Source organism: Homo sapiens, chromosome 5 (assembly GCF_000001405.40).
Source record: "Homo sapiens chromosome 5, GRCh38.p14 Primary Assembly".
NCBI classification, from domain to species: Eukaryota; Metazoa; Chordata; class Mammalia; order Primates; family Hominidae; genus Homo; species Homo sapiens.
The window spans coordinates 35,897,466-35,915,676 of record NC_000005.10 but is presented as its reverse complement, the minus strand read 5'-3'; the positions used below and the strand labels follow the sequence as shown (position 1 = coordinate 35,915,676).

Genomic DNA, 18,211 nt, shown 5'->3' with positions numbered 1-18,211 from the left:
TTTTTAGCATGAAGGGTTGTTGAATTTTGTCAAAGGCCTTTTCTGCATCTATTGAGATAATCATGTGGTTTTTGTCGTTGGTTCTGTTTATATGCTGGATTACATTTATTGATTTGCGTATGTTGAACCAGCCTTGCATCCCAGGGATGAAGCCCACTTGATCATGGTGGATAAGCTTCTTGATGTACTGCTGGATTTGGTTTGCCAGTATTTTATTGAGGATTTTTGCATTGATGTTCACCAGGGATATTGGTCTAAAATTCTCTTTTTTGGTTGTGTCTCTGTCCGGCTGTGGTATCAGGATGATGCTGGCCTCCTAAAATAAATTAGGGAGGATTGCCTCTTTTTCTATTGACTGGAATAGTTTCAGAAGGAATGGTACCAGTTCCTCCTTGTACCTCTGGTAGAATTTGGCTGTGAATCCTTCTGGTCCTGGACTGTTTTTGGTTGGTAAGCTATTAATTATTGCCTCAATTTCAGGGTCTGTTATTGGTCTATTCAGAGATTCAACTTCTTCCTAGTTTAGTCTTGGGAGGGTGTGTGTGTTGAGGAATTTATCCATTTCTTCTAGATTTTCTAGTTTATTTGCATAGAAGTGTTTATAGTATTCTCTGATGGTAGTTTGTATTTCTGTGGGATCGGTGGTGATATCCCCTTTATCATTTTTTATTGTGTCTATTTGATTCTTCTCTCTTTTCTTCTTTATTAGTCTTGCTAGAGTTCTATCAATTTTGTTGATCTTTTCAAATAACCAGCTCCTGGATTTAATGATTTTTTGAAGAGTTTTTTGTGTCTCTATTTCCTTGAGTTCTGCTCTGATCTTAGTTATTTCTTGCCTTCTGCTAGCTTTTGAATATGTTTGCTCTTGCTTCTCTAGTTCTTTTAATTGTGACATTAGGGTGTCAATTTTAGATCTTTCCTGCTTTCTCTTGTGGACATTTAGTGCTATAAATTTCCCTCTACACACTGCTTTGAATGTGTCCCAGAGATTCTGGTATGTTGTGTCTTTGTTCTCGTTGGTTTCAAAGAACATCTTTATTTCTGCCTTCATTTCGTTATGTACCCAGTAGTCATTCAGGAGCAGGTTGTTCAGTTTCCATGTAGTTGAGAGGTTTTGAGTGAGTTTCTTAATCCTGAGTTCTAGTTTGATTGCACTGTGGTCTGAGAGACAGTTTGTTATAATTTCTGTTCTTTTACATTTGCTGAGGAGTGTTTTACTTCCAATTATGTGGTCAATTTTGGAATAGGTGTGGTGTGGTGCTGAAAAGAATGTATATTCTGTTGATTTGGGGTGGAGAGTTCTGTAGATGTCTATTAGGTCCGCTTGGTGCAGAACTTAGTTCAATTCCTGGATATCTTTGTTAACTTTCTGTCTCGTTGATCTGTCTAATGTTGACAGTGGGGTGGTAAAGTCTCCCATTATTATTGTGTGGGAGTCTAAGTCTCTTTGTAGGTTTCTAAGGACTTGCTTTATGAATCTGCGTGCTCTTGTATTGGGTGCATATATATTTAGGATAGTTAGCTCTTCTTGTTGAATTGATCCCTTTACCATTATGTAATGGCCTTCTTTGTCTCTTTTTATCTTTGTTGTTTTAAAGTCTGTTTTATCAGAGACTAGGATTGCAACCCCTGCCTTTTTTTGTTTTCCATTTGCTTGGTAGATCTTCCTCCATCCCTTTATTGTGAGCCTGTGTGTGTCTCTGCATTTGAGATGGGTTTCCTGAATACAGCACACTGATGGGTCTTGACTGTTTATCCAATTTCCCAGTCTGTGTCTTTTAACTGGAGCATTTAGCCCATTTACATTTCAGGTTAATATTGTTATCTTTGAATTTGATCCTGTCATTATGATGTTAGCTGGTTATTTTGCTCATTAGTTTATGCCGTTTCTTCATAGCATCGATGGTCTTTACAATTAGGCATGTTTTTGCAGTGGCTGGTACCGGTTGTTCCTTTCCACATTTAGTGCTTCCTTCAGGAGCTCTTTTAGGGCAGGCCTGGTGGTGACAAAATCTCTCAGCATTTGCTTGTCTGTAAAGGATTTTTATTTCTCCTTCACTTATGAAGCTTAGTTTGGCTGGATACGAAATTCTGTGTTGAAAATTCTTTTCTTTTAGAATGTTGAATATTGGCCCCCACTCTCTTCTGGCTTGTAGAGTTTCTGCTGAGAGATCCGCTGTTAGTCTGATGGGCTTCCCTTTGTGGGTAACCTGACCTTTCTCTGTGGCTGCCCTTAACATTTTTTCCTTATTTCCACTTTGGTGAATCTGACAATTATGTGTCTTGGAGTTGCTCTTCTCGAGGACTATCTTTGTGGCATTCTCTGTATTTCCTGAATTTGAATGTTGGCCTGCCTTGCTAGATTGGGGAAGTTCTCCTGGAAAATATCCTGCTGAGTGTTTTCCAACTTGGTTCCTTTCTCCCCATCACTTTCAGGTACACCAATCAGACATAGATTTGGTCTTTTCACATAGTCCCATATTTCTTGGAGGCGTTGTTCATTTCTTTTTGTTCTTTTATCTCTAAACTTCTCTTCTCACTTCATTTCATTCATTTGATCTTCCATCACTGATACCCTTTCTTCCAGTTGATCGAATTGGCTACTGAGGCTTGTGCATTCATCACGTAGTTCTCTTGTCATGGTTTTCAGCTCCGTCAGGTCCTTTAAGGACTTCTCTGCAGTGGTTTTCTAGTTAGACGTTCATCTAATTTTTTTTTCAAGGTTTTTAACTTCTTTGCCATGGGTGCAAACTTCCTCCTTTAGCTCAAGTAGTTTGATCATCTGCAGTCTTCTTCTGTCAACTTGTTAAAGTCATCTCCATCCAGCTTTGTTCCATTGCTGGTGAGGAGCTGTGCTCCTTTGGAGGAGGAGAGGCACTCTGCTTTTTAGAGTTTCCAGTTTTTCTGCTCTGTTTTTTCCCCATCTTTGTGGTTTTATCTACCTTTGGTCTTTGATGATGGTGACATACAGATGAGGTTTTGGTGTGGATGTCCTATCTGTTTGTTAGTTTTCCTTCTAACAGTCAGGAACCTCAGCTGCAGGTCTGTTGGAGTTTGCTGGAGGTCCACTCCAGACCCTGTTTGCCTGGGTATCAGCAGTGGAGGCTGCAGAACAGCAGATATTGGTGAACAGCAAATGTTGCTGCCTGATTGTTCCTCTGGAAGTTTTGTCTCAGAGGAGTACCTGGCCGTGTGAGGTGTCAGTCTGCCCCTACTGGGGGGTGCCTCCCAGTTAGGCTACTCGGGGGTCAGGGACCCACTTGAGGAGGCAGTCTGTCCATTATCAGATCTCAAGCTGCATGCTGGGAGAACCATTACTCTCTTCAAAGTTGTCAGACAGGGACATTTAAATCTGCAGAGGTTTCTGCTGCCTTTTGTTTGGCTATGCCCTGCCCCCAGAGGTGGAGTCTACAGAGGCAGGCAGGCCTCCTTGAGCTGCAGTGAGCTCCACCCAGTTTGAGCTTCCTGGCTGCTTTGTTTACCGTCTCAAGCCTCAGCAATGGTGGGCATCCCTCCCCCAGCCTCGCTGCTGCTTTGCAGTTTGGTCTCAGACTGCTGTGCTGGCAATGAGTGAGGCCCGGTGGGTGTCGGATCCTCCGAGCCAGGTGCAGGATATAATCTCCTGGTGCGCCGTTTGCTAAGACTGTTGGAAAAGCATAGTATTAGGGTGGGACTGACCCGATTTTCCAGGTGCCGTCTGTCACCCCTTTCTTTGACTAGGAAAGGGAATTCCCTGACCCCTTGCGCTTCCTGGGTGAGGCGATGCCTTGCCCTGCTTCAGCTCATGCTTGGTGTGCTGCACCCACTGTCCGACACTCCCCAGTAAGATGAACCTGGTACCTTAGTTGGAAATGCAGAAATCACCTGTCTTCTGCATCGCTCACGCTGGGAGCTGTAGACTGGAGCTGTTCCTATTTGGCCATCTTGCTCCACCCCCTTATTTTTTAAATAGACTACTTTAAAAACCAATGCCAGCACATGATTATTAACTAAGGCCCATAATTTATTCATACTTCCGTAGTTTTTACCTAGTGTCCTTTTCTGTTTCAAGATCTCATCCAGAACTCTGCTTTACATTTACTTGTAATGTTTCCTTAGGATCCTGTTGGTTATGACAGTTTCTCAGACTTTCCTGGTTTTTGATGAATGTGAGAGGTCAAGTATTTTGTAGGATGCCCACCTATTGGAATTTCTCTGATTTTTTTCTTCATGACTAAACTGGGCTTATTATTTTTAGGGACCACAGACATAAAGCACCATTTTTATCACATTATACCAAGGATATGTATGATTAACATGATTTATTACTGTTGATGTTGACACTGATCACCTGATTGAGGTAGTATTTGTCAGACTTCTCCATTGTAAAGTTGCTTCCCTTTTCCCTTTTCCATATCGTACTTTTTGGAAGGAAACCTCTTTGTAGAGCCCACACTTAGAGAGTGGGGAGTATATGTTCCCTCCTTGAGAGGAGAATATATCCATAACTTATTTGGAATTTTTCTGCAAGAGAAATTTGTCATTTTCTTCATCTTTATTTACTCTATCATTTATTTAACCAGTATGGATGTAGGGATTTCTTTTTTATATTTTGGGTTATAATCCAGCATAGTTTTATTGGTTTAATTGTTCCAGCCTTGATCTTGAGAGCTATTTAAGTTGGCTCCTATATCCCTAACATAGCCACATCACTGTGATTTTCTGACTTCCTAAATCATTTTTTTAAAATTGATATGCATTAAGGTTTACACCTTGCTCTGTAAAGTGCTATGGGTTTTAGCAAATGCATAATGTCATGTATCCACCATCATAGTATTATAAAGGATAGTTTCTTTGACCTAAAAATCCCATGTTTCACCAATTCAACTCTTTCCTTTACCTTTCATCTTTTTACTGTCTCCACAGTTTTGTCTTTTGCAGAATGTCATGTAATTAGAATTATACTTTGTGTGTGTGTTTGTGTGTGTGTGGTGGGAAGAGGCTCTCCAGTTTTGGAAAGGAGGGTGCAGAGAAGAATTTAAGACTTTTGTATTTTAATTTGACGAAACCTTGAGTGTGGATTTTTTTTTAATCTTTACACTTACACCTGTTATTTGTACATTTCTTCTGAATTTTTGTGTGTATTTTCTTCAGAGTGTTTAGAATTATGGATGACGATAATAATCGAACCCTTGATTTTAAAGAATTTATGAAAGGGTTAAATGATTATGCTGTGGTCATGGAAAAAGAAGAGGTGGAAGAACTTTTCCGGAGGTTTGATAAAGATGGAAATGGAACAATAGACTTCAATGAATTTCTTCTCACATTAAGAGTAAGTGGCCCCATTAATCAGTGTATCTGCTGAGTTTGGCTTTCACGTGGTTTGGGTTGGCTACCTTGAGGTTTTGTTTTTACAAGTTGTTAGTACACTGTGGGGAGGGGGATAAGCAGAAAACTGTGAACAGACTTAGGAATTTTTGGAGCAATTGTAGTGTCTATTACATAATAGCACACAAATATTATTTCACATCGTTGAGGGGAATGAGATATTTTATCACATAGGATACCAAAAAAGCTCATTTGCTTATGTATGTCTCTGTATGTATTCTTCTATTTTTGTAGCCTCCAATGTCCAGAGCCAGAAAAGAGGTAATCATGCAAGCTTTTAGAAAGTTAGACAAGACTGGAGATGGTGTTATAACAATCGAAGACCTTCGTGAAGTATATAATGCAAAACACCACCCAAAGTACCAGAATGGGGAATGGAGTGAGGAACAAGTATTTAGGAAATTTCTGGATAACTTTGATTCACCCTATGACAAAGATGGATTGGTAAGTAAAAGAGCCTAATCTAGGGGAAATTTCTTCAATTCGAAATTGTAAATGGGAAATAGGTCCAAACTCTTAAAAATGTTAACACATTGATACCATATTTGTTGTAAATAGAAGTAAACTATTTCCCTAGGAACAATCTAGAAACTTCTCCATTGCCAGGGGAAACCTTCATGTTACTTTAGTTGAAACCTAATGTATGTTTGTGCACGCACACACTCATAGACATATATTGAAATATATTGGTAGGGGATCCACATAAGTGATGACCTGTCATCTGGGGAATGTGATGTTCTGATTAAACATGCCATTTTATGGTTACTATATTTACCATACTCAGCTAGTTGCACTCCAGTGAACTGATTATAATAAAATATATTTAACTTTGAAATGAGATCATAATTTAATTTTGGAGAACAGATTTACAAGGCCTTTCAGGATGTTTTAGTGCCTTCACACTCATCCTCATTCATCTTCACACTTTGCTATGTGGAAATGCCATTTAAAGGTAGTTTTTGGTAAAGGGAATGTCAAATAACAGAATTTACTCTGATTTATTCTTTAGTGTGCTTTGAGATTAACTTACATTTCTAAACTGCACTGAATTTGAAAACAAAATCAACCGCCCATCTCCATTAACTTTTATCTTCAAGTTACAAATGCATAGCTTGGTAGGGTAAGGAATTATATAGCTCCATGACTGTGTCTAGGCTGAGATGAAAATGTCATCTGTCCTTTATCAACAGCCCTAAATTGACTTTTTAGAAAAAAAAAAAAAACCCTGAGCCAGTTCTGTTCTTAGATGATCTAAGGGTTTTGGTGATAAGGAAAGGGGATTGTCCCTTGAGTAACAGTCAGCAGCAGCACAGCCCCAGGGTTCATTGTCTCTTAAGCCCTTTACAGCACAGGAAAAGATAAGTGGCCCAGTGGACAAGAAGAGAGTGGTTAAGGGAAGAAGAAATAAACCTTCCTCTTCTGAAGGGAATGTGCTCCAACTTTTTAAATGAAACTTCATGATGAGTCTCATTAGCAAGGGGTGGGGGATAGGAAGGTGACCTTTCTGTTCTTCCTGCTGACATTTCCCTTTCAGGGATGGAGACATACCCTCTATTTCAGGCTGAGGATTGTGGAGGCAGGTTTACAAAAGGGCCAAAATTCAATAGGGCAGCCAAAATCTTAGGGACAGAAATAAAAACTACATGTTTTCTTCCAGTATTGCTGGCCTTGATCACTGAGATGTCAGTGGAAAAATAGCCAACTGCCATTTCCCCAAATTAGCCCACCCCTTTGTGGATCCTAGAGTGTGTCTGCTTCCTCTCTGCAGGTGGTTCCTCCTCATTGCCAGGGGAAACCTCAGCTACCCTTTTCTCTAACAAAAGTCAAAATAGCCAGTTGTGATTCGGCTGATTCAAGTCTGCACATCACCCCTTTTGATATTTATCTTAAGAAGCCACATTAAGCTCTCAAAAGCTCATAAAGGTTATTGAGGTTTTTAGCAGTTATAGCACTTGATGTCATCTGCATGTTACAGACCCTGTATTGATACCCAACTCTGGCTGTTCATAATCATCATCAGGGAGGATTTATTAGTAATGTAGATTCCTAGCTGCACTGCAGAACCACAGAATCTGATTTTTTGGAGGATGGAGTCCAAGGCTTTACATTTTAATGTGTACCAGATGACTCTTACACTCACGTGTATTTGTGATCCTTAGCTCTAAAAGATTCAGAAATAACTGTTTTAAAATTACTAAATATAATATACACATGACCCCATTTAGCATAATAATGAATCTGGGCAACACTTTTTGAGCACATATCAACTGGGCATTTGCTAAGGGCTTACCAGGGATATCTCATTTAATAGACATAATAAAAGTGTTTCTGAAAAGTGATGTGTAATTCAAACTTTCGCACACTGAATTGTATTTTAAATGCACAAGAAATTGTTGTTGTAGAGGAACTCCATGGTAAATTCTTTTATGAGAAGAATAATTAGCTTCTAAAATTTACCTCTTGCAAATTGCACTATTTTGCATATTAAGATTGCTTGTGGTGAAGCATAGCTGTACTTGAAGCCAGTGTGCTCATTTATGGTTAAAAACATCCCATATAAGACAAAATTTAAAATAATGCAAAAAATTTAGCATAGCTCCTAGCTAAAGGTAATGTTCAAACTTGATAATCTAGGTTAAACTCTCAAATACCCATAAAGGTTGCTGGAGTTTCAGCAGTCACGGAATTTGATGTCATAAATCTTGCACTAATACCTCACTGGACTCCCATAGCAGCCGGAAGCCATTTGGATGGAGGTGTGAAGCAATCAGATAACCTGTGACACAGACTTTCCTTACCCCTTTTCTATCACTAAACCCCACCACAATTTGGTGAGACATTTACTTCTTATTCTTTAATATCTAAGTTTTGAATTCTTCATGTGTATATATGACTTTATCATCACTATATTTTTAAAAAGCCTCTTAGGACTTTAGACCTTCAGGGAATATCAGTCTATTGCCTCATCCATCTCATAAAAAATTTTTAAATAATTAAAAATATGTTAGGTATATTACTGAGTGTATGTATTAATAGTAACCTAGATTTGTTTTAGGATTTTTCTGATGAATTTGGAGCTGAGAAAAAGGGCTTGTATTGTGACTTCCATTACCCCCATCTGGGACCTTTCCTTGTATATATGATATATATCTTGTCACATAAAGGTAGCCTAGTCAAGAGGCCTGCTAAAAGTAGGAGTGCCCAGTCTCTCATTTTTTTCTAATGTCAAATAAAATGAATAAGGATAGTGATTATTGCTAACCAACAATTTACTATGATGAGGGCAAATTTACAGGAGATCAGAGAATTTGCGATTCAGGCCATTCCCAATATAAGTTGAGTCTCAGAAAACAAGCAAACACCTAGCTAAGAGTAACTGATGGCTTTTTCTGAAATGATCAAATACATTAGCTCTGACCTCTGGCTTGACGTCATCTGACTTCCAAGTGAGGTTTAATGCTTCCTTTATCTTTTGCCCATCTTGGATTCCTTCTCCATTCTCCAACAGAGCCAACTCAACTCAGGTCACCCCATCCCACTGGGGGAGTTTGGGATGGAAGGATGGGTGACGATACCAGTCTCAATCATGTATTGGTGTTTCAGTTAGGGTTTGCTTTCAATTGCAAGAAATAGGAAATCTTATTATACACTGGAATACACAAATTAGGTTTTATTTTTTATTCTACTTGATGTTCTCACTTGAGTGGCTTAAAGAGAGCAGAGCTGAAGTCTTTGTGATTTTCCTGGCCTTTCCTTCATGATCTCAAGATGGTTGCCTAACTTCAGCCAGCACATCTGAGTTTCAGGCAGCAGGACAAAGGAGGGAGAAGGAGGGAACGAGAAAGGGCTGGAGCCTGCATCAGGAAAGCAAAGGCTTCCCTAGAAATTCATGTCAAATTTCCTTTGTATCTTATTGGTGAGAACTCTATTACTTGGCCATCCCAAGCTGAAGCTGCAGAGGAGTCTGGGAAAGTGAGTTTTGAGTTTTTCAACTTCTGTGGGAGAGAAAAGCTAGGGATAGGATTATTACAGTGGATGTGGAGGGAGTCTCATTCAATGGCTGTCATCCCTGGCCAACAAACAGACAATAGAAACAATAACAAACTAAAAATATCGGGAGTTTGATAATTTTTAATTAAAAAATAATTAGCTGTAAAAAATGTTCCTCAAACTGTCATGGTAAAGTGCACCGTCAAAATGGCTCAGGGTCTCGTGGGTAACTCTTTTAGTTTACTTGCTATTTGCTGTAAAATGATCCACTTACTTTGTTGGAGTATTTCACCAGCCTGCAACTTTTTGAGGACTGAGACTTTATCTTAATTATCTTTGATATTCCCAGTTAAATTACTGTAGTGTGCACAACAATTAACTGGGATGTTTAGATTTTTAAGAAGTAAATTCCACAACCACCTGCTTCAGAGATTCTGATTTAGCAGGTGTGGGGTACAGCCTGTGGGCCTAGGCTTATGACAGACACCCCAGGTTGTCCTGATGCAGGTGGTGTGGACCCACACTGATAAACATTTCCCTGGAACCTCACACAACATGAGAAAGATAGAAAGAGGGCAATAATGATGTGTGAAACTTAATGTAATCCCTTAATGAGGGAATTGAAAAGCAGAGGCTGAGGAATCCAAAGGAGGAGAGGAATAAAGAAGTTCAACAAAGGGGGATGCTAATGGTATCCTAATTTTGACAGAGGCTCTATGCATGTATTGTAGATGTGTATTTACAGTTCAACTATGAGCTGAGTTCAAATGCCTTTCTTTCTACTGCCCTTCCTTATGTTTTTAGTGGGAAGGGGTGGTATGAAAGACAACTGTGGATCCAGTGACTTTTCTTTTCTGGTCACTTATAATTTCAATAGGACCAGTGGGTCAGTCATCTCTTATGATTCTTGGAAGGCATAGGTATGTCCCCAACCGATCATGTCAACCAACATGATTAAATTAGAGTGTACATATTATCTAGACCTGTTAAAAATAAGACTAATAACTGTCTTTTCTCCTTCCCCAAAGGAAAGTAATATAAAATCCCCACACAGATAAACACATTAGTCAATATTTCAAAGAGATGGTCATGGGTGTAGAGTGGAGAGAAGCCAGGATGGGTGGGAGGCATGAAGCAGGGGTAAGCTTTTTATTCACCCTGGGCCTTGAATGAGTTATTTATGTGTTAGAAAAGCATGCAACCCGGGAGCGTTTAACTAGAAATCTGTTTCTTCACCCACAGGAGAGAACTCCATTTTTGGAAAGGGAAAACATCACTTACCCTGACACAAGGACATGACATGTTGTTTCTGACGTGTCACAGAAAGACAGAAATAACTACAGTTGCAGAGCACTTCCTTCTTACTCTGAGTTTCAGTCTCCCTTACCTGAACCGACGGGCTCCCACCCTTAGACAAAAGATGACAACCTATGCGTCACTTTCCATTTAGGTTGGCTTAGAAACTTTCAAGACTTTCTTTCTCTCTTCCTAGGTGCTGTTCTCACACCATCCTCAGCTTCACTTGTTCTTTTGTTTTAGATCAGTTCCTCAGCCATGATCACATACACAAAGAAATCCTCTATTTCCCTTCTATTTACAGGTGCACAAGGTGGGCGCCCATTGACAGAGTGAGAAGCAAAGTTTCGTTTTTGTTTCTAACTTTTCCACTGCAGGTGACCCCTGAGGAGTTCATGAACTACTATGCAGGTGTGAGCGCATCCATTGACACTGATGTGTACTTCATCATCATGATGAGAACCGCCTGGAAGCTTTAAGCACATGACCTGGGGACCAGGCCCTGGGACAGCCATGTGGCTCCAAATGACTAAATGTCAGCTCAAAAACCAGAATCGTATTTGATTTCACACTCATCCTAATGTTTTTTTCTGTGTCAAAATATTGCATTTTCTGGGGCCAAAAAACAGGCAGAAATAAAAGACATTGAGTAGCCAACTGTGAGTTTGCCTTGCCTAAGACTGTTTCCTTTGTTCTAAAATAGGACTTAAATAAAATGAGCTCTGTAAAGCTCCTAGTGCTGTGCTGATACATGCAGGTGTCTAATCAACTTTAGGTTTTATCCCTTGGCCATTAATGAAAGCTTGAGTATTTTAATTAAAACCCTCACCCATGCACCCATAGTTTTTCTTCACCTCCTTTTAGATGATCCTTTTCTAGGTGAGATGATAATATATCTCTTTTTATGACTGATTGTAAGTCTTTAAGTGTTTCAGTCTCATTTGGGGACCAGAAGAAGACCACGTGTTAGCCTCAATTTCTACAAGCAAATCTTGAGTTTCACTGCTTAGGGTTTAGGGAAGCCGCAGTTTGACAAATAGATTCAAAATGATTTATTTAATAGTCATTTTAAAGACTGGTGTGAGTGAGGAGGCTATTTCTTTGAGCAGTAGATCCACGCCTGTTCATGGTACTCCTGTGGCTGAAGTTTTGAAACTGGGCTGGGCGCTCAGATTTTATCTGGGACATCTTGCGCTGTGTGTGGGCAGGCTATTCCAGAAAGCCTTCACCTGGTGGAATGTTTATCTCTCCCCTCTCTGCTTTCTGCCAATTGTGTTGAAATTCCCACCAGCAAGGGCTGGGTGCAGTGGCTCACGCCTGCAATCCCAGTACTTTGGGAGGCTGAGGTGGGTGGATCACCTGAGGTCAGGAGTTCAAGGCCAGCCTGTCCAACATGGTGAAAACCCTGTCTCTACTAAAAATAAAAAAATTAGCTGGGCATGGTGGCACATGCCTGTAATCTCAGCTACTCCAGAGGCTGAGACATGAGAATTGCTTGAACCCGGGAGGCAGAGGCTGCAATGAGCTCAGATCATGCCACTGCACTGCACTCCAGCCTAGAGCAAGACTCTGTCTCAAACAAACAAACAAACAAACAAAAATTCCCACCAGCACAAGGAGGTTGGGTGTGACACGGACTAGGATTTCAATAATATTCCAAAGCAGGTTTTCCATCTTGATGCTTCATGGCTTAACACCTCCTCCTCCCAGCACTAAGCTTTGGCTTCATATCGTTGATGTGTAGGACTCTGCCCATGAAAGGCTACTAGAAGCAAAGATAGCCCAGAGGCTGGAAAATAGATAAGAAAACTACAGCTCTCCTTCTGTGTCTTCTGTATCTAGGGCCAGAGATAAAAGCACAGTGACCAGCCTCTGGTTATGGTGCTGGAGACAATGCCCACCCACCTTGCTGCTGGGTGAAATACCTCCTTTTGACTCTGTCCTTAGCTGCACTCATCCCCCAGTTTGCAGACAGGATTGGGTTAATAGTCTTCTTTAAGATCTTATATACTTAATTGGCTCTGGATTTAGGGATTGAACACACTTGCCATATTTTGTATCAATTCACTGTTTAGGTTTTATTTCATACGCTTGGAAGTTGAGATTCGGATATGTATTAATTTAAAACATGTGAAAACCAGTGCTGCTACATAGGCATTATAGTAGTTATTAAGTAACTTGTTGAGATGCTCAACTTTTTCTTGAGGATGGTGTATCCCCGTATTACCAGAAACTAGTTTTGTTTTTGTTTTTGTTTTTTTACTTAATTGCACAATTGCACAAGTTTGATTTTGTATTGGATTTATTATCTCTGCTCATATAGAGGTTGGTTAGGCCAAAGATACCAAGTGTTATGAAGAAATATGTAGACTTATGTAGAAAACCAGAAGAAATTGTGAAGAAATGTATAGAAAAAAATCCATATATTTTTGCAGCCTGTGCCTTGTAGACTGTGGCTAAGGAGAGGTCCCCTATTTCCTGGGGATGATGGGTTTCAAGGCTTTTGCTCTAGAAAGATTCTTGTCTTTGATTCTGGGTATGACTCATGCCTCAGCTTAACTGAGGCTATAGAGTGAGCATGTGATTCTGAGCAAGGACCAGGTTGCAGCTATCAGCTTAGTCTTCTCCAGTGATACTTTGCTTCCTGTCAAATGGGGGCACAGGGCACAGCTATCCAATTTCAGATAACCCATACTTCATAGTGTATTTGGTCACATTTAGTTGCTTCTCTTCTAGCGGTTTGGGTTCTGGGCCCATGAGCAAGGTTCCACCAAGGCCCTTTCACCCTCTGGAAACAAAATCTGCTAATAACCTAATGGTCAAGGGTCACTGCACTCCAATTCTCATTCTCCTTTATGGCTTCTGGCACAGTCACGAATTATGCATTATTTAGCTCTACTCCTTCTAGTAGGAGTGGGAGGAAAAGAGAAGAGACATTTAAAGAAATCATTTGCTAACACTCTTCTGGATATATTTTTTGTTTATTTAACTTACAGATTTTAAAGCTTACTCCGTTTACAATTTAAAAAATAAGCCCTTAGTTCAGAAGGCAAAACACAATAAAAAGTTGCCAAAACATCCCTCAGGAAAACCTCACCTGTTGGGTCTGGTCCTCAGATAGAAAATTAAACAAGCCAAAGAAAAGAGAATGAAATTAGCAACTTTTTATGAAACAAGAATGATGTATGCAAACATTCTGAGAATGAGAGTTTGTCAGAACAAACCACCCATAACAATACTGAATTTGGATTTCTAACTTGATCAAAGGCAAACCCATGCAAGAATGGCCAGAGACTCTGACTCTCTGCTGCTGTGCACATCATACTTGGATTCTATTCACAGTGCAAATGAGAAACCCAGAATGTGGAAGCTATGCAAACTAAACTGTAGACTGAGGCAGAATTCTTTCTGCTGGTCTGTGGGGCTGGTTTTCACAGTGATTTAAACTGTGATAGGATCTTCCCAGGCACAGATGGCACTTTGGAGGACCATGTACTTGTTCTGTATGGTTTGACAGCAGGCATGGAGTCACATTTCATACCGTAATCAAGCTTTTCAAAGGCAGAGCTGGGTGTTCTCCAAGTAGCTGCAGATTGACTTGGCATACATCATGGCTTGCAGGTGTAAATACATCCCATCAATAAATATTTATTGAGATACATGCTTTTTTTCTAGGCCATGGGGACAGAGCAGTGAACTAGAATAATTGCAAGCAAAACCATTGGCTTTCAAACCAAACTAACAACCCACAGTTGTTAAGAGATCAAAGAGGGTAGAGAGGGAGGGAAAGAACAGGCACCCAAATTCCCCTCCCAGAATCTCATTCAGCCTCTGAAGTCAGGACAGTTGGAGCCCTTTCTGTGGCACTGTGTCGGGGAGTGACGTAGTCAATTTCATGGACATAGACAGCCTATCAAGACAATGCAAGGAAAATCCCTCTCTGTATTTGGAGGCAGATAATTGTGTTGGCTCTTTAATTTTCTTGGCCAAAGTTGATTGTCTCACTGAGCCATGAGAGTACAAGTAGGTAACACTTCCATTCTCACTAAACTACCTGCAGATGCAGTCTATGTTGAAGTTTAATCAAGTGGAGAGATAGAATTTACCAGATGTATTCACAGATGGTGTGTGGGGGCCCTTCTACCTCTGCTTCATGAAATTCTATTAACCTTCTCTGAGTAGTATACCTTTTTTGGATTTATGCATATCTGTTTTGTTATTGTTTTTATTTATTATGTTTTTGATATGGAGTCTCGCTGTGTCACCCAGGCTGGAGTGCAGTGGTGCCATCTCGGCTCACTGCAATCTCCATCTCCCAGGTTCAAATGATTCTCCTGTCTCAGCCTCCGAGTAACTGGGATTACAGTCACCTGTCACTATACCCAGCTAATTTTTTGTATTTTTAGGAGAGATGGGGTTTTACCACGTTGGCCAGGCTAGTCTCGAATCCCTCACCTCAGGTGATTTGCCCACCTCGGCCTCCCACAGTGCTGGGATTATAGGCTTGAGCCACCACTCCCGACCATGCATATCTATTTTGAGTACAGAAATGAAGAACCTCATATTTTCCAATTCCCAAACTGGTCAACAGACTTGCTTTCCTGGAGATTATTGATTGTTCTTTTAAATTAAGATCCTATTGAATGAAGCGGTAAAGTTTTAAATCCTAGAAATGCTTATGACTCAAAGGAAAAACAAAAGCATCAGAAGTCTGACAGATTGTCATTTAATGTTATTGAGTTTCGTGTAACTGATCCTTTTGAAAGCCAATGTTTCTCAGCATGATTTTACTCCTCCAAGTCACTTAAATGAAAACTATGTAACTTTGATAGAGATAGCTAGTTCTTTTATTCCGAAAAAATAAAACCCACCTAGTTAACCCCTAAAATTATATGTTCTAAAACAGGTGATGGGTGAGATATGTTGAAAGAAACATAAACAAATGATTGATGGGGGTTCTGAGAACATCGCTGTGTGAGAAGAATTCTTTTTGCCATTTCAGCTGGTGTGGTGACAGGCTGTGGTGAAACAGCTCTTCCTCTCTGAGAACAGCATGACCTTCTTGTTTAATTCTCACACCTGCCTCGCCAAAGCCATATCTTTTCCCCTGAGCAAAGTATAGTGGAAGAACCTCCTCAGGAGTGAAGCCCACTGAAAATATAAGCAACCAACCAGTAGACAAGGTTTTAATATGGACCTTGCAATGACCAGAAAGGTAGAGTTCATCAGGGAAAAAAATCTCAACACGTAATGGCCTTTTTTTTTCTTTTGTATTAGATTTTCTTTTGATTCTTCCTAATGGAATTTATTTATTGTTTCTCTGGGGTATTTCAAAAATCCTAGCAGCCATTGAACATTGTTGATGCCATGTGAGTTTCACCGAAGTCCCTGTGAGCACCATGGGCTTCCAGCTCCATCTCCCAGCACTAGAAGTGTGATACTTAGCTCAAACACTCCAAGGATCACATCCAGCTTTACATTATGCCACCATATAACAGTCACTCATTTCCAATTTCATTCTGCTCCAGACCCTGTAATAAATGTACCAGGGACCTTGTGACTCAGAGCTCAAGCACTTTAAATTTGAAGCAAGAACTGAGTATATAGTAGTTTATTATCCTGTGCTCAAAGACTTGGATCACTTTTTCTTTTCTGACCTGAATACTTGGCATTCAGAGCCTGCTATTGACTTGGGAACATCTTGATCTTAAACTTGAAAGGTTTGAGTTGCTGAACTCCTGGAAATGCTTAGGCGACATGTGGAACTGATGACAATCCGCAACCCGAGAGAGCCTTAGAACAGGATGAGGACCCGGAATTGAGAGAAAATGACAAATGGCGGAGTGACTTGCTCCTTCCAGAGTTATAGTGAGTCTCAGAGTGCTTCCTGTTGATGGGATAAAGTGCTACACAATCGCAGGTTATTATCAAATGTTAGCCATTACCTTACTAAACCCAGCTCACTCCTTTTGTTTCCAAGGGAACTGGGAAATAAAGCCCCTTCCACAAATGTCATACTTAGTCATGCTTAAAATCTCATTTAGCAATATTACTCAAAATCCATTTACTTAAGATTATTATTGAAGTGGCTAAGTGTGTATAGCAAATCACCACGAATTCAGGCTCTACTAATTGAGATCATTTAGACAGGGTTTGAGTGGAAGTTTACTTGTATTTTATCTGTACCAGAAAAAAGAGAGGATGGAGGTTGTTAAGGAAGTCAGCAATGCAAAGATTATAAGGGCTGTGCCTACATAGGCCAAGTACCTGTAAAACATATACACATTCATATAAATATATTTGCAATATATTCATATATATCTTACAGGTACTTGGAGCTATTTGTGTATAAATATAATTAGTATGCTAGTCATAAAATGTTTTCGCATACCTTTTAAAATAGTCCTAGGTTAATTGTTAATTGGCAATGATTTATTGGACAACTATAGCTCAAGCTGTTTTCTAGATAGTGAAGTGTTTCTATTATGTAAATCCTATCTTGATAATATTTTAAAATAGAAATTGAATATACATTGAAGCTGAAAACAACATTCTGCGTTATAAGGAAACATTTTCATGATATTCATGACATAAATTTTTAAATATTTTATTTGAAAAGCTATAGGTGTTTCTAGTGGTAAGCTATACATGCACTGAAAGCAAGAACTTGGCTTAATAGCAAGAGCTGGAATATCATTTCTAGGGACGAAATATTGAAAGGTTCTTGAGTTACAAAGTTAGATATTATTTAATTTATAATACCAGCTTTGTCATTTTTTAAAATTATCAGACAGCACTTTGCCATTAACTTGGTTCTAATTTAATTTAAGGTTTGAAGCATTAGCAACTATTGTAACAAAAGAGGACATCTGGCTGTGTGCAGTGGCTCATGCCTGCAATCCCACCACTTTGGGAGGCTGAGGTGGGTGGATCACTTGAGGTCAGGAGTTCAAGACCAGCCTGACAAACATGGTGAAACTCCGTCTCTACTAAAAATACAAAATTAGCTGGAAGTGTTGGTGCACACGTGTAATCCCAGCTACTTGGGAGGCTGAGAGGCAGGAGAATCGCTTGAACCCAGGAGGCGCAGATTGCAGTGAGCCGAGATTGCGCCATTGCACTTCAGCCTAGGCAAGAAGAGCGAAACTCCGTCTCAAAACAAAACAAAACAAAACAAAAACCAAAAACAAAATAAAACAAAACAAAAACACATCTAGCTATTTCAGTTTTAAAGTGTTTCCAAAAGATATTTATTCTTGTTAGCAAGCATGTAACATATCATGCTTCTTTAAAAGTATACTTCCTTGACGGTGCTTTTGGATCATTTAAAAATGTTATTTGTGTGGTATTTCAGTTACAGGTGATAACGTTTCTTCTTTGAAAATTATGAGGCCCTGTTCACATTGTACTCGCTCATGTTCTTAAAAGAGCAAAACATAATTACTCATAAAACTATTATTTTGACAGCCAAGAATGAAAGTTCCAACATTTGATGTTAATATTACTTTCTTGCAGGGATGAACTACTTCCATCTAGCAGGCCAAGCAAGTTTCCAGAA

General features: G+C 39.7%; 1 protein-coding gene across 4 annotated transcripts in view, besides 1 other annotated feature; it reads left to right on the top strand.

Moving 5' to 3' along the window:
* Positions 1 to 11,389, top strand: part of CAPSL (calcyphosine like) — a 34,492-nt gene extending 23,103 nt beyond the window's left edge. For 3 of the 4 annotated variants that reach the window (NM_144647.4, XM_006714444.4, NM_001042625.2), the window contains exons 3-5: positions 5,134 to 5,311; positions 5,602 to 5,811; positions 11,031 to 11,389. In NM_144647.4, the coding sequence (NP_653248.3) occupies positions 5,134 to 5,311; positions 5,602 to 5,811; positions 11,031 to 11,132 (490 nt within the window). In that variant the 3' untranslated portion in view covers positions 11,133 to 11,389. Of the gene's footprint in view, positions 1 to 5,133; positions 5,312 to 5,601; positions 5,812 to 10,957 lie in introns of all 4 variants that reach the window. The other variant, XM_006714445.4, reaches the window with a different exon arrangement.
* Positions 10,983 to 11,082: an enhancer, noted in NCBI's record as "active region_22472". NCBI's record gives its function as "activates an Ori minimal core promoter by ATAC-STARR-seq in GM12878 lymphoblastoid cells {active_cell/tissue: GM12878}" and the evidence as "EXISTENCE:reporter gene assay evidence [ECO:0000049][PMID:35858748]".
* Positions 11,390 to 18,211: the final 6,822 nt, after the last annotated feature.